This window comes from Homo sapiens, chromosome 4 (genome assembly GCF_000001405.40).
Source record: "Homo sapiens chromosome 4, GRCh38.p14 Primary Assembly".
In the NCBI taxonomy this organism is placed as follows: domain Eukaryota; kingdom Metazoa; phylum Chordata; class Mammalia; order Primates; family Hominidae; genus Homo; species Homo sapiens.
Genome location: NC_000004.12, coordinates 29,208,553 through 29,221,862, shown reverse-complemented (window position 1 = coordinate 29,221,862; position 13,310 = coordinate 29,208,553). Strand labels below are relative to the sequence as shown.

General features: G+C 32.9%; 1 long non-coding RNA gene across 1 annotated transcript; it reads right to left on the bottom strand.

The window, feature by feature from the left end:
• Window positions 1-700: 700 nt before the first annotated feature.
• On the bottom strand, window positions 701-7,571 carry LINC02472 (long intergenic non-protein coding RNA 2472). The gene is made up of 3 exons (NR_146996.1): window positions 7,409-7,571; window positions 6,377-6,575; window positions 701-1,019 (listed from the first exon to the last, which is right to left on the bottom strand). It is a non-coding gene; the product is annotated as a long intergenic non-protein coding RNA 2472 (long non-coding RNA).
• Between the last annotated feature and the right edge of the window lie 5,739 nt (window positions 7,572-13,310).

The window sequence follows — 13,310 nt, the reverse complement described above, 5'->3', positions numbered from 1 at the left end:
CCTGTTTCAACTATCAAAGGAAACACCATGAATTTATACCAACTATACTGTTATATGTTATTTTAAGTTACGTCAATCTTCCTTCTTTCCAAAGTAAAGGAGTATCTATTGTTCTGGATTTACAGTGACTGAAACTTCAAGTGGGAAAAAGGGAATTAGAACTTTTACAAAATTACTTATTTTTCATTTTCTAGTCAGATGTCAAATAGATAGTGCTATTCACAATGTCACCATGAGCAAATAATAGACAGCAAGAGTGAATATGAGAGAGAGAGAGAACTTTGCAGTGGGCACTGATGTAGTCAAAGGTTTCTAAAAAAAAAAAAAAAGTAACAAATCTTGATGTGGGAGAAAGTCTGCTGTACAAAATAGTAAGTTCTATTCAAAAATGTTCTGCTCTATTGTGAAAATGCCTCCTTTCTGATGAAAAAAATTTATTTTTATTCATATGAAATGTATCTGTTATTTCAAAGTTCTTCAGTATATGTTGGTAATTTGACTCCAGTTCAAAGAGAATTTTAAAAGATACTTCTTACACAATAGTCTAATTAATCTAATTGACATATCATTGTTCAAATATTAGGGATGGACTATTTAGGGCAGGAAAATGCAATATTAAACCGAGATATCTACATAATCTTAGGCAAGGATGCCAGATTTAGAAAGCGAACATCACCTTTCATAATGAAAGCAAGATACCTTTGCAAAGAATCATTTATTAAAACCAAACTACTATTTCAATAAAGCATTAAGATTTGCTGCATAGAATGCCCCTTGGGCAGCACTCTGAAATAATAGTGAATTGCTATTCCAATTCACAATGGAACATTTTAATAAGTGTGATAAATGACTCACAGAGAGCTGTAGATTTCAATGTCAGTGGAATTAGAATCAGGCAAACGCTGGCCCTGGATGATGGATGTACAGGATCTTTGTGGTAAACACTTTGCAATGTCAGGACAATACCAGCTTATGAAACTCTCAGAGGTGAAATTCATGTCCATTTGTCAACTTGTTGCCTGAGGGTGAAAATGTAGACAGAACACTAGTCTTATTTTAACAGGTGATATACTCTCTTAAATTCTGTAACCCTTAAAAATGACACAAAACAAAAAAATTAAAGATGCAATGTATAAAAGTAAATCTCCTTATATTTAGAGATGTAACGTACATTCATAGCCTCAGTAGTAGAGTGGATTGGAGAAATATTTTGTATTCAACTGGACTCAAATTTTCAACTTTTTTCTCTCATTTTAGATAACATTTTTTTCTTTAGATGTCCAAGCTTTACAAGGATATAAATGTATATGTGGGACTTCTTTATTTTTTCTAAACAGATGCAAATCACATATTTTTAGACAACATTTCTTCTGACCATGTTAACTTAGAACACAAAGTTAAGGTGAGTAAAAAATTATGACTATACAGATACTGTATGACTGTACAGTAATATTCAAATAAAGAGTTTGGCTCGGCGGGGGGCGGTGGTTCACGCCGGTAATCCCAGCACTTTGGGAGGCCGAGGCGGGTGGATCACGAGGTCAGGAGATCGAGACCATCCTGGCTAACACGGTGAAACCCCGTCTCTATTAAAAATACAAAAAAAAATTAGCCAGGCGTGGTGGCGGGCGCCTGTAATCCCAGCTACTCTGGAAGCTGAGGGAGGAGAACAGCGTGAACCCGAGAGGCGGAGCTTGCAGTGAGCGGAGATCCCACCACTGCACTCCAGCCTGGGCGACACAGCAAGACTCCGTCTCAAAAAAAAAAAAAAAGAAAAAAAAAGAATTTGGCTTATACGTATTATCTCTCATGATTTTCTTGCATGTGATTTTAGATGTTCCCTAGGAAACAAGTTTCCAATTTGCGCTTCAAGTTTACTAAGCTAATATCTCCCTTAATATTTCTCAAAAAGGTAGCACAATTTGCTGATATATACAAAGTATTTTTGTCAACAATATATTAAATCTGAATGGGACTTTATAAGTGAAATCTAAAAGACAAAAGAAAAAGTAGGATCAACACATCTTAATGTAAAATTAGTTTTCTCAAATTTCTTTTAAATATATAAAACCATGGAACACTACAAAGTTCAAATATGCGATGAGCAAAGATATTTTATATTTATAAATAGCCACAAACCTAATTTTAAAAAAGTAAATTAAAAAAATTGTTAACTATATCTATAATTTTCAAAATTGTTTTTGGTCATTGTTGGTACACTAAGGCAATACTTTCTAAATTTTAACATCCACATAGAATCCACCCAGGAGTATTATTCAACTGATAACTGTGATGCAATAGGCCTGGCAGGCGAGGCCTGAGGTGCTACCTTTCCCATAATCTCTTACGTGAACTTACTGCTACTGCTCTGCAGACCGCACCTTGGTAAATCAGGCAATAAGGTCACTCCTCTGACTTACAATGTATAGAATATACAGGAGGGTTTATGAAAAGTGAAAAGCAGCTGCTCTGTGTTGGCCTTAATTAAATAAAATAATACATTAAATTCTTGATCCTTTTTGGTTTAATTAGTGTCAGGAAGTGACAGAAAGTGAATATCATGCTATGGGGTGACATGTGACTTGTATACCCATCCTAACCCTCAACTAGCTATGGAATTAACTAGCTATGCAGCAGATGTGTCAATTGTATACCCATCTTAACTCTCAACTAACTATGAAGTTAATATGGAATTAACTAGCTATGGAATTAATATGGAATTGTATGGGGTGCAGACATGTGAATTGTATACCCATCTTAACTCTCAACTAGCTATGGAATTAGTACCTATAATTTTTCACTTGTAAGCCTAGAATATTACTAATAGTTATTTTATTTAGTGCTTTTAACTATTAAATGAGACAATACACATAAAACAGTTAAAATAGTTCCTGTCATATAGTAAACCCTTAGTAAGTATTATTCCTATGAACATGCCAGTGTTACTGACATGGAGCAAGAACAACTGGATTTTATTTTAGTTCTTTTGTTGAAGGATTAAGACATCCTTAACCTTAAAAATTATTTAAACCATCTGACCCCAATTTCCTCATTTACAAAATGTGAATGATTATATGAATTTCAAAAAGGTGCTTAGATTAAGAGAATGCCTATGAAAATATTTTATTTACTCTAAATTATGCAAGTAAAACATAATTTTTGCTTCAAGTATGAAACTTTTGGGGAAAAACTACTTTTAAATTTACCAAGTATTGGTAGTTATTCAACAGCTAACAAGTAACATTTTGATTTATTTTTTATTTCAACCTAGTCAGAGTTTCCCAACAAAGTTTTGGCAAAATAAGGGGAAATGTGGAACTAGTGAGTTCTAAACATACAGTATTTAATTACTGATTAGACATGGAAATAAAAGCAGAAGCATACAAAATAAATTTTCCTATTATTTTAATAATACAGCAGTGCTAGTAATATCGTATGTCTCTTTCTATGCTTACCAAAACATCACACATTTTATTTGGGAAAAGGTAAAAGGGATGCTTTCTGTTATACTTGAGCCCTTATAAAAGAGACACAATAAATAACTGTTGAAGAATCAATTCAAAAATCTAAGTTTATTCCTAATTCTATTTTTCTCTTGTGATGTGTCCTTAGAAGTGTACTTGGTCTCCTTATTCTTCAGATTCAATGCAAAATGGGACTATCAATATAGAACTTGCTACTTGGAGACATTACAGTGAACCACAAGAATTAACAAAAACGATGACAGGTAAGTGGTTTGAACTGATTTCTAAAGAAAACTTCTATAGACACACAAACCTCTCAGGGCATGAAATTCTTTTTGAAAGTGAAAAAAAAAATAGCTGAGAGGGAGAAACCTCATGTAATGAGGAAAAGGAAGATCAGAAAGGAGGGGAGGTTAGAGATCAGGAGTTACAGCCTCTTTCATTTCACAGAGGTAGCACCCAGCAAGGGCACTGCTAATCTTTTCTGGATGCAGTCAATATTAGAGTTTATTAATAACTTGGAAAAGGGAGTAATCATCCAATTAATTTGACAAATAGGCAGGAGTTATGGACGCTCATAGGGCCAAAGATATAGAGGTTAGGGAGATAAGAGAGAAATAACTTTTTTTTAAATTATACTTTAAGTCCTAGGGTACATGTGCACAATGTGCGGGTTTGTTACATATGTATACATGTTCCATGTTGGTGTGTTGCCCCATTAACTCATCATTTACATTCGGTATATCCCTAATGCTATCCCTCCCCACTCCCCCCACCCCACAACAGGCCCTGGTGTGTGATGTTCCCCACCCTGTGTCCAAGTGTTCTCATTGTTCAATTCCCACCTACGAGTGAGAACATGCTGCGTTTGGTTTTCTGTCCTTGCGATAGTTTGCTCAGAATGATGGTTTCTAGCTTCATCCATGTCCCTCCAAAGGACATGAACTCATCCTTTTTTATGGCTGCATAGTATTCCATGGTGTATATGTGCCACATTTTCTTAATCCAGTCTGTCATTGATGGACATTTGGGTTGGTTCCAAGTCTTTGCTATTGTGAATAGTGCCGCAATAAACATACATGTGCACGTGTCTTTATAGCAGCATGATTTATAATCCTTTGGGTATATGCCCAGTAATGGGATGGCTGGGTCAAAAGGTATTTCTAGTTCTAGATCCTTGAGGAATCGCCACACTGTCTTCCACAATGGTTGAACTAGTTTACAGTCCCACCAACAGTGTAAAAGCGTTCCTATTGAGATAAATAATTTAATAGGAATAAGAATTAACCTTGGAGACCAAAAGTTAGTACACTAAAGCAAAGCCACAGTGTGGCTTTCAAAATTAAAATCAAAGTCTGTGTTTTTCTTTACCAAAATAATTTGTATTTTCTAGAGTGGAGTGGCACAATCATGGCTTAATGCAGCCACAACCTCCTGGGCTAAGGTGATCCTCCTGACTCAGCCTCCCAGATAGCTGAGACGGGGGTCTCATCATGTTGCACAGGCTGGTCTTGCACTCCTGGACTCAAGCCATCTGCCAGCTTCAACCTCCTGAAGTGCTGGGGTTACAGGTGTGAGCCACCATGCCCAGCCAAGGAGCTTTCAATCATGGTGGAAGGTGAAGCAGGAACAGATATGTCACATGTAGAAAGCAGAAAGCAGGAGCAAGTGAAAGAGACTAAAGGGGAGATTTCTCACACATTTTCAAACAACCAGATTTTTAGGGAACTCAGAGCAAGAGCCCACTTATCACCAAGAAGTTGGCCCAAGCCATTCATGAGGGATCTTTCCCCATGACAAAAACACCTCCCACCAGGTCCTCCCTCCAACACTGAGGATTACATTTTAACATGAGATTTGAATGGGGACAAATTTCCAAACTACATAGCCCACCAAATGCAAGATGCTATTATTAGTGGGAACTATGTTGTGAGGGGTTAGCTTGGTAGTATGTGGAACTCTGCCTACCCTGCTTATGTTTTCTGCAAACCTCGAACTTCTTTTAAAATAGTCTATTACTTTTTAAAATGGCCTGTTTGAAGAAACTAAGTTTGTTGTGCACAATAAATTGGATATGTATAATAGATAGGGAGATTTTCATTTAATATTTCTAGAAATTAAAGAAATGGATAGATGGACTTATTAAAAAGAAAAAGAAAGACTAAAAAGTGAGAAAGAAATGAAAGAGAAAAGATAGAAACAAGAACAAATCAAATCAAGCAAAATTTTTATGTTACATGAGATTAATGGAATTTGACATTAATTGCATGAAATATACAAACAAGGTATATATATATACACAAATATATATATTTGTCCTCTGTTGTATATTCTTTCTTTATATATCATTCAGTGTTTTGCTCAACATTATGTTCATAAGATTTATCCATATTCTCAAGCTTATTTGTAGATTTTCCATTCTAGTTGTTGTACAGTAGTCTATTCAATGAACATAAAAATTAATTTATTGCATGATTGATAAACATTCTGGTATTTTCTGATGTTTGAGTGAAATGAGCTGTGCTGTCATAAACTTTCTGTTGCATGTCTTTTTCGTGTGTATAGATGTACTCTTTGCTATTTGGCACACACCTAAAAGTGGAAACAGTTTTCTAAATGATTGCAACAACTTACATCCTCACCAGAAGGAGTTTCATTTGCTCCTTGGCCCCTTCAGTACTCAGTATTTTCTCCTTTTGCATTTTATCAGTAATTGTAGTTGCATGATGTTATTGGACTTTGATTTTTACTTGGAGTTAGGTTTTTGTCATTATTGTTGTTGTTTTAATTTTACATTTAAGTTCAAGGGTACCTATGCAGGTTTGTCATATAGGTAAACTTGTATCATGGGGTTTGTTGTGAGATGATTTTATCACCCAGGTAGTAAGCCAAGTACCAATAAGTTATTTTACCTGATTCTCTCCCTTCTCCCACGTTCCAGCCTCTGATAGGCCCCATATGCGTTGTTCCCATCTTTGTATTCGTGAGTTCTCATCATTTAGTTCCCACTTATAAGTGAGAACGTGCAGTATTTGGTTTTCTGTTTCTTACATTTTATTTTTAAAAAAACTGCCAAAATACTTCCCAAAGTGTCACTGTTATTTCACATTCCTACAAGAAATTTGTGGTGGTTTTAATTGATCTGTATACTCAAAAATATTTTGCATTGTCTGTCTTTATATTATAATCAATCTAGTAGGTGTCTAGTAGTATCTGATGGTGATTTCAATGTTTATTTTCCTAATGTTACTGAGCCAGTTTTCATGTACTTGTTATTTTTACATAATCTTTATTAAGATGTCTATTGAAACTTTTTGCACATTTTAAAAAATGGGAGTTTTAAAAATATTTTAGGAATTTTAAAATATTTTGCATATTCTGACATTAAGCCTTTTCTCAGATATAGAATCGGTAATTATTTCCCTTCAGTCTATGGCCTGTCATTTCATTTTTTAATGGTGTCATTTCAATTATAAATATATTTAATTTTGGTGGAATTCAATTTATATTTTAATTTTGTATGAATCATTATTCTTGTGTATAGTTTTAGCCCTTACATATATGTGTATGATACAAAGTAAGGGTCAAAGTTGTTTTGCCTATGGCTGTCTGACAGACTGACTATCGTTTGCTAAAGATTTTTCTAATCCCATTAAATTTTCTTGATATCTTTGTATAAAATCTATTTACCATGATGTAAAAATTTATCTGTAAACTCTCAGTTTATTTCCATTGATCTATATGTCTATCCTTCTACCAGCATACTCTTACTTGCTATGACTTTATAACTTTTGACTTTATAACTATTGCCATATAACTATTAACTTTTGACATATAACTATATGACTTTAATAGGTTTGAAATTAGATAGTTTCAGTTCTTCAATTTTCTACTTCTTTTTCAAAATTATTTTTGCTATACTGCATCCTTCAGTCTTCATTTACCTTTAAGTATCAGTGTGTACAGCTATAAAAATGACAGCTGGGATTTTGACAGATATGGCTTTGAATTTGTAGATCATTTTAGTGAAAGACATCTTCACAATATTCAATTGTCTTCTCCATAAACATGAATTTTTCTCTATTTATGCAGATCCAACTTTCTGGTTCACAGATGTCCATCTCTAGGTTTTTTCTTTTCTTTTTTTTTTTTTTTTTAAATAAGGGCACGCATCACAATCATGAGGGTTCTGCCTTCATGACCTAATCAACTTCCAAAGGTCCCACCTCCTAATACCATCACATTGGTGTTAGGATTTCAACATATGAATTTGGGGAGGACCTTATACATTCATTCCGTTACACAGGCTACATTTCCTTTGATGGTCCATTTCCTTCTTATCATTAGTCCATGCTATTCTTTTGAATCTAATTACTCTTTTTCACTACACGGATGAGAGTACAATATAATTTCTTCCACAACTTTAAGTAAAGACACTCCTTTCTGCTAGCTTTTATAAACTGATAAAAAACTTGGAAATTTTGGTAGTCACATTTGCCAATACCAAGACAGATAATGCACTGAAATGAAGGCAGCACAGCCAGACGCGGTGGCTCGTGCCTGTAATCCCAGCACTTTGGGAGGCCGAGGCGGGTGGATCACGAGGTCAGGAGTTCAAGACTAGCCTGGCCACGATGGTGAAACCCCGTCTCTACCAAAAATACAAAAAGTAGCTGGGTGTGGTGGTGCATGCCTGTAATCCCAGCTACTCAGGAGGCTGAGGCAGAGAATTGCTTGAGCCAGGGAGGCGGAAGTTGCAGTGAGGCAAGATTGCACCACTGCACTCCAGCCTGGATGGCAGAGCAAGACTCCATCTCAAAAAAAAAAAAAAAGAATGAAGCAACACAGAGTCAAAAAAAGAGATTACTCTTAGATAAATTTGAGAGAGCCCCATGTCTACCTATTTCTGAACATGAACATACATGTAATACTGAGAATGCCAGTTATATAATCCAATCAAATTATTTGTGTTGCTATATTTTACCCTACACCATTATTTGATTCTATTTCTTACAGCTGCAAGAAAATTGTCTAATAAAGAAATACTAAGCCAAAGAGGAACTGAAAATGAAAAAAATTTGATGTGAGAAAGTGACTTTATTGGGCATGATTAATACATAGCATAGATATTAGTAATCTCCTTTACATTTATTACTTTTTAAACAAACATTACCAATTTACCCCTTTACTTTGATGCTCAGACACACCTTCAGATCCTTACTACGATTCTCCAGATTGATCATAAAATTTTGAAATCTATTGCATTCCTGACAATAAATAATGATAATACTCAGGAAAAAAGACTGGTTTCCATTGTTTGCATACTCTCTATTTTGTAAGTACTATTTTGTTTATACAAATTAACACAGGGCAGTTGGATTATAAATAGAGATGGATCTCAGAGTAATATTAAAAGTTATATTGGTTACTAAATGTGTCATAGTAATCTGTACTACTTTATCACTTATTAAAATAATTTCTTATAGTTCTATGACAATGGATGTGCATATTGGTGTATAATATTAAATAATAATTACTAAGTGAAACAATGTCAAGACAGAAACAATGTATATGCTATAAACTACACAGTCAATAAAGTTCACAAGTTTACATCCTAATAATGGTTTCATCATTAAAGACAATATGTTCTTTGTTTTACAAGTGTCAAAGGGCCTTAATCTAAGAAATATACCCAAAGTCTTTTGGGATCTTGGACTGGCAGCACATGACAAAAATCTCAGAATTTTTTAATTTAGCCTTTACATGAAAATGCTGCATATTGGTTCAACATGTAAGCTCATATTTAGAGACCATATTAATAATTTCAAATTGCAGGTATTTGCATGCTATGTATTTTTTAATAAATAATATAGAGCAAATATTTGTTTTTAAAATCTAAAACAAAACAATTATTCAGTTTCTCACTAGTATTTTCCACAGTTTGCATTTCACATCGTTGCAAACTAAAATAATTTCCCTATAGTATAGATATAAAATTAAATTATTTGCATTAGAAAATCACCTCTAAATATATTAAAAGATGGTTCAGGGCAAAATAATCCTATTAACTGCATAGCAGGTAATAAATGAGTCTGTGCATACTATAATCATGTAATTTAAAGGGTGTACTAAGTTTTTGCTTGGAGGACTGTTGAAGTGAGTCTTTTGAAATAGGAAAGAAAAATGAGAAGGGATTCTGAGAATTTAATTTCCTTGGAGGGAAAAAAAGAAAAATGTAGTTAAAACAGATATGCTTAACTTCAATTTAAAAGTGCTTTTTAGGTTTAAAATCTTAATAATGTGTATAATATGAGTGTTAATAATTCAGCATGTCTGAATTTCCCCAATATATAATGAAATATGTAAAAGAGTTATAACAAAATTAAAATACTTTCAATTATAATTACTAAATAATAATGATAGCTAACATTTGTTCAGGACTCAAAAGTTTTATTGTCTATATGTATTACCTAACTTAATTTTCCCAATTACACTAAGAGGTATGTGCTTACTACTGTGTACTTAGCGGATGAGAAGTTGAGGACTCCTTAGATATTACATAGTAGATAAATTATGATGTAACCTAGTGAAATATACACTATGCAATCATTAAAAATGGTATTGTAAAAGTATGTTTACTACAAGGAAGATATTCCTATTATATAAATAAAATAATTAGATGAAATAATAGTTACTTCTGAGTTTTGGTATTCAGCATGATTAAATTTTATTATTTGTTATTTTCTTTATCTTCCATATTTTTTACAGCTGATGTGTTTTTTTCTAAATAAGAAAATAATTTTATTTATTACTTCAAAAAAAACCAGACATAGGAATCTTTCTAGGCATAAAAATAGATGTCTTGTTCTATATTAACACTCCTTTGCCTGACAACAACTTGAAGTAGATACTATTATTTTTATTATTAACACCATTTTACAGCTGACAAACTAAGACACAGAGATACTAAATAACTTGCCTAAGATTACATCCAGTAAGTGGCAGAGCAATAATGGAAACACTTTAGATTCCTTGGCTAATCCGTTAATTCTCTTCTTTTGCCAGGACTAACATATTCTTAATCTTTATTTCCATTCTTTCATTTTGCAGACAGTCTAACTCAGTCTTGAATATAAAGCCTTTTAAATGTTTCTTAATTACTTACAAGCGGCAGAACACAGTGTGGCAGTTCCTGGTTTTTGAAGCAATGTGATGTAGGATATTCTACAAGTACAAAGAAAAGCTACATGAAAAATAGAATCATCATTACATTGTCTTCCTTCCTGCTGAACTCTGCAGTCCGATATTGTATTGCGGAGGTACTGCCAAGCAGAAAGGTAATAACATCACAAGTCTCAGTTGACCTGTGTCTCAGCATTTTTAACACAATCGTTCTTTCCATTACTTCAGGATTTCATTTAATAATCTCCCCTGTTAGAATCATTGTAACAGCAGGAAGAGGCAGAATTAGCAGTTACAGCTATATGCTCACTTCCCAAGTTATTTTTTCTTCCAATTAAAAAGCATTTCATATATTTGAATAAAATGCAGATCTTAGTTCATATTCTTAAGTGGATTTTGAGTTTGCTGGTGAGATTCTTTATTTCAACTCTTAGCAGGTAACTCAATCCACCATATAATATGATTAAAAGAGCAAAGTTGCCGATACCTCATAAGCCTTTGGGCTTTCAAAGTTATTTAAAGTATTGGTGGTGGTGATGTTCATAAGAGCTCATTAAATATGAAGCTTGGTTTTGGATCTATAAGTTAATTTATTAAAGAGAAGTTTGCAGATTTTTTTAAAGAACAGATAACATGTTTATCATATACTTAATTAACTAAAAGTGAATACTATTAAAATAATAATCACTGAAGGCACAAGTAAAAACTATATTTTATGATTCTCACGTGTGTGTAAAGGGGATTTTTAAATGAAGCTATATATTTATTAAATTCAGTTATCAGTCCTGTTTACTAGTTAAAAACAAAATAAAACAAACTTTGAGGCAGCATTGTCTTATATGCATATTTCCATAAGTTTTTCTCATATAATTAAATCTCAACTGTGAAGATAAAATATCTGCAAAACGCACAAACGAAAAACTATTTCTTTAAATTTAAGTTTAGTAAGTTTCTTAGAAATAGGTTCTTGAAGGTTAAATTTTTCCTGTTAGTTGATTCTACTTTCAAGAAGATGAATGAAAATTTTAATTAAATAGCTAATTCCAAAAATGATATGATAGTTTATATTAGTCCAACTAGCAATTTTCTTGAAAGTTTAAGATTAATGTCTCAAATTATCAACCTCAATATTTGAAGTGAAAAAAGTAGCAAAAGTTAGCTTTTCATACTTGACCTATTAAAAACATTAACTGTTTCTGAAACTATAAAGAACACGAATTTTGCAAGAATTAAATGTGTTTATTTCAAGCTAATAAAATATTATAAGCCACATTGATATTCCACCATCATAAAATTAAAACATTCTTATATATTTTTAATATTAATGATACTATATTCTATATCAATATAATGATTCTAAAGAAAAAATATACTGATAAGTGTAATTGTATAGATGCACATGATTTTTGGGAAAGTATTACATTAGAAGATATTCTATTTAGCCAAATTTTGCCTCTAAATATTGTGTTAAGAAACATTTATGGGTGGCAAGAAAGGAAAGGATGAAATTGGTATAAGGTTGAAACAAGCAGAAATGAATAAACAAGTAACATGAGATTTCCTATTTTAGGATGACTGGAGGAACTCCCAAAAAAATCTTTGAAATGCCAAGAAAATGTTTAAAAATGAGAGTGAATCTGCTATGTAGAATGAAACTATGAAGATCATGAAAATAACCAGAGCCTTACTCTATTCTAATAGACATCATAATTAGGAGACATGTCACAATCCCTAAAAAATGCATTTGAAAACAGTTTCCTTCTGTATAATAGTTTATTAGTTTTTGCACTAATTATATCATTAGATAGGATAGACACAATAGATAAAAGCTTACTGAACAAAAATTACTGTTTCAGACCTCACATTTTCATCACCTGAATCTCTCCACATGGCTGTATCACATGACATCTGAATTTTCCAGGAGGAAAATTCAACCAGCCAGGAGGAGGAAGAGGAGAAGGAGGAGGAGGGCAGAAGGAGAAGAGGAGGAAAAAAGGAGAAGGAGAAAGAGACAGAGAGAGATTCCAAGATGAATTGCACTGTTTTATAAACTAATCTTAGAACTAACACCCCCATCACTTCTTTCATACTCTGTTTATTGGTAGTGACTCAGCAAACACTGCCCACATTCAACTCCACACACAAGGGAATGGGTACCAGGAAGTGGAGGTCATCTAGGGCCATTTTGAAGGTCGGCTTCCACACTAATCTTTATATCTGCTTCTAGCAATATGTTTGGCAAAGAGCCATGAATATGGCTCTACATAATTACAATCTTACAAGTGAAATCACAGAATACTGAACAAAGTATCATAGGTGAATTACTTTATCTAATCCTACATTTTTCAGACTATAAAACTGAAAACAAAAGAAAAAATACAACTTGTTTGAGGTAGAGATAATAAGAACAAATTTCTTTTTATTAAACTATCCTACAAATAATCAATTTCTAAAAAGTATTTTGAAAAATTTTATAATCACTAAGTAGTTGGCAAGATCAGATAATGAGTTCTTACATAACTTTCACCCAGCATCTCTCAATATTAACATCTTATACAACCATAATATATACAAAAACTAATAAATTATAATTTATTATACTATTCATATTTTTAGTATTTATAGCACTTTAATCAGATTTAATCACTTTTTAAATTAATATCA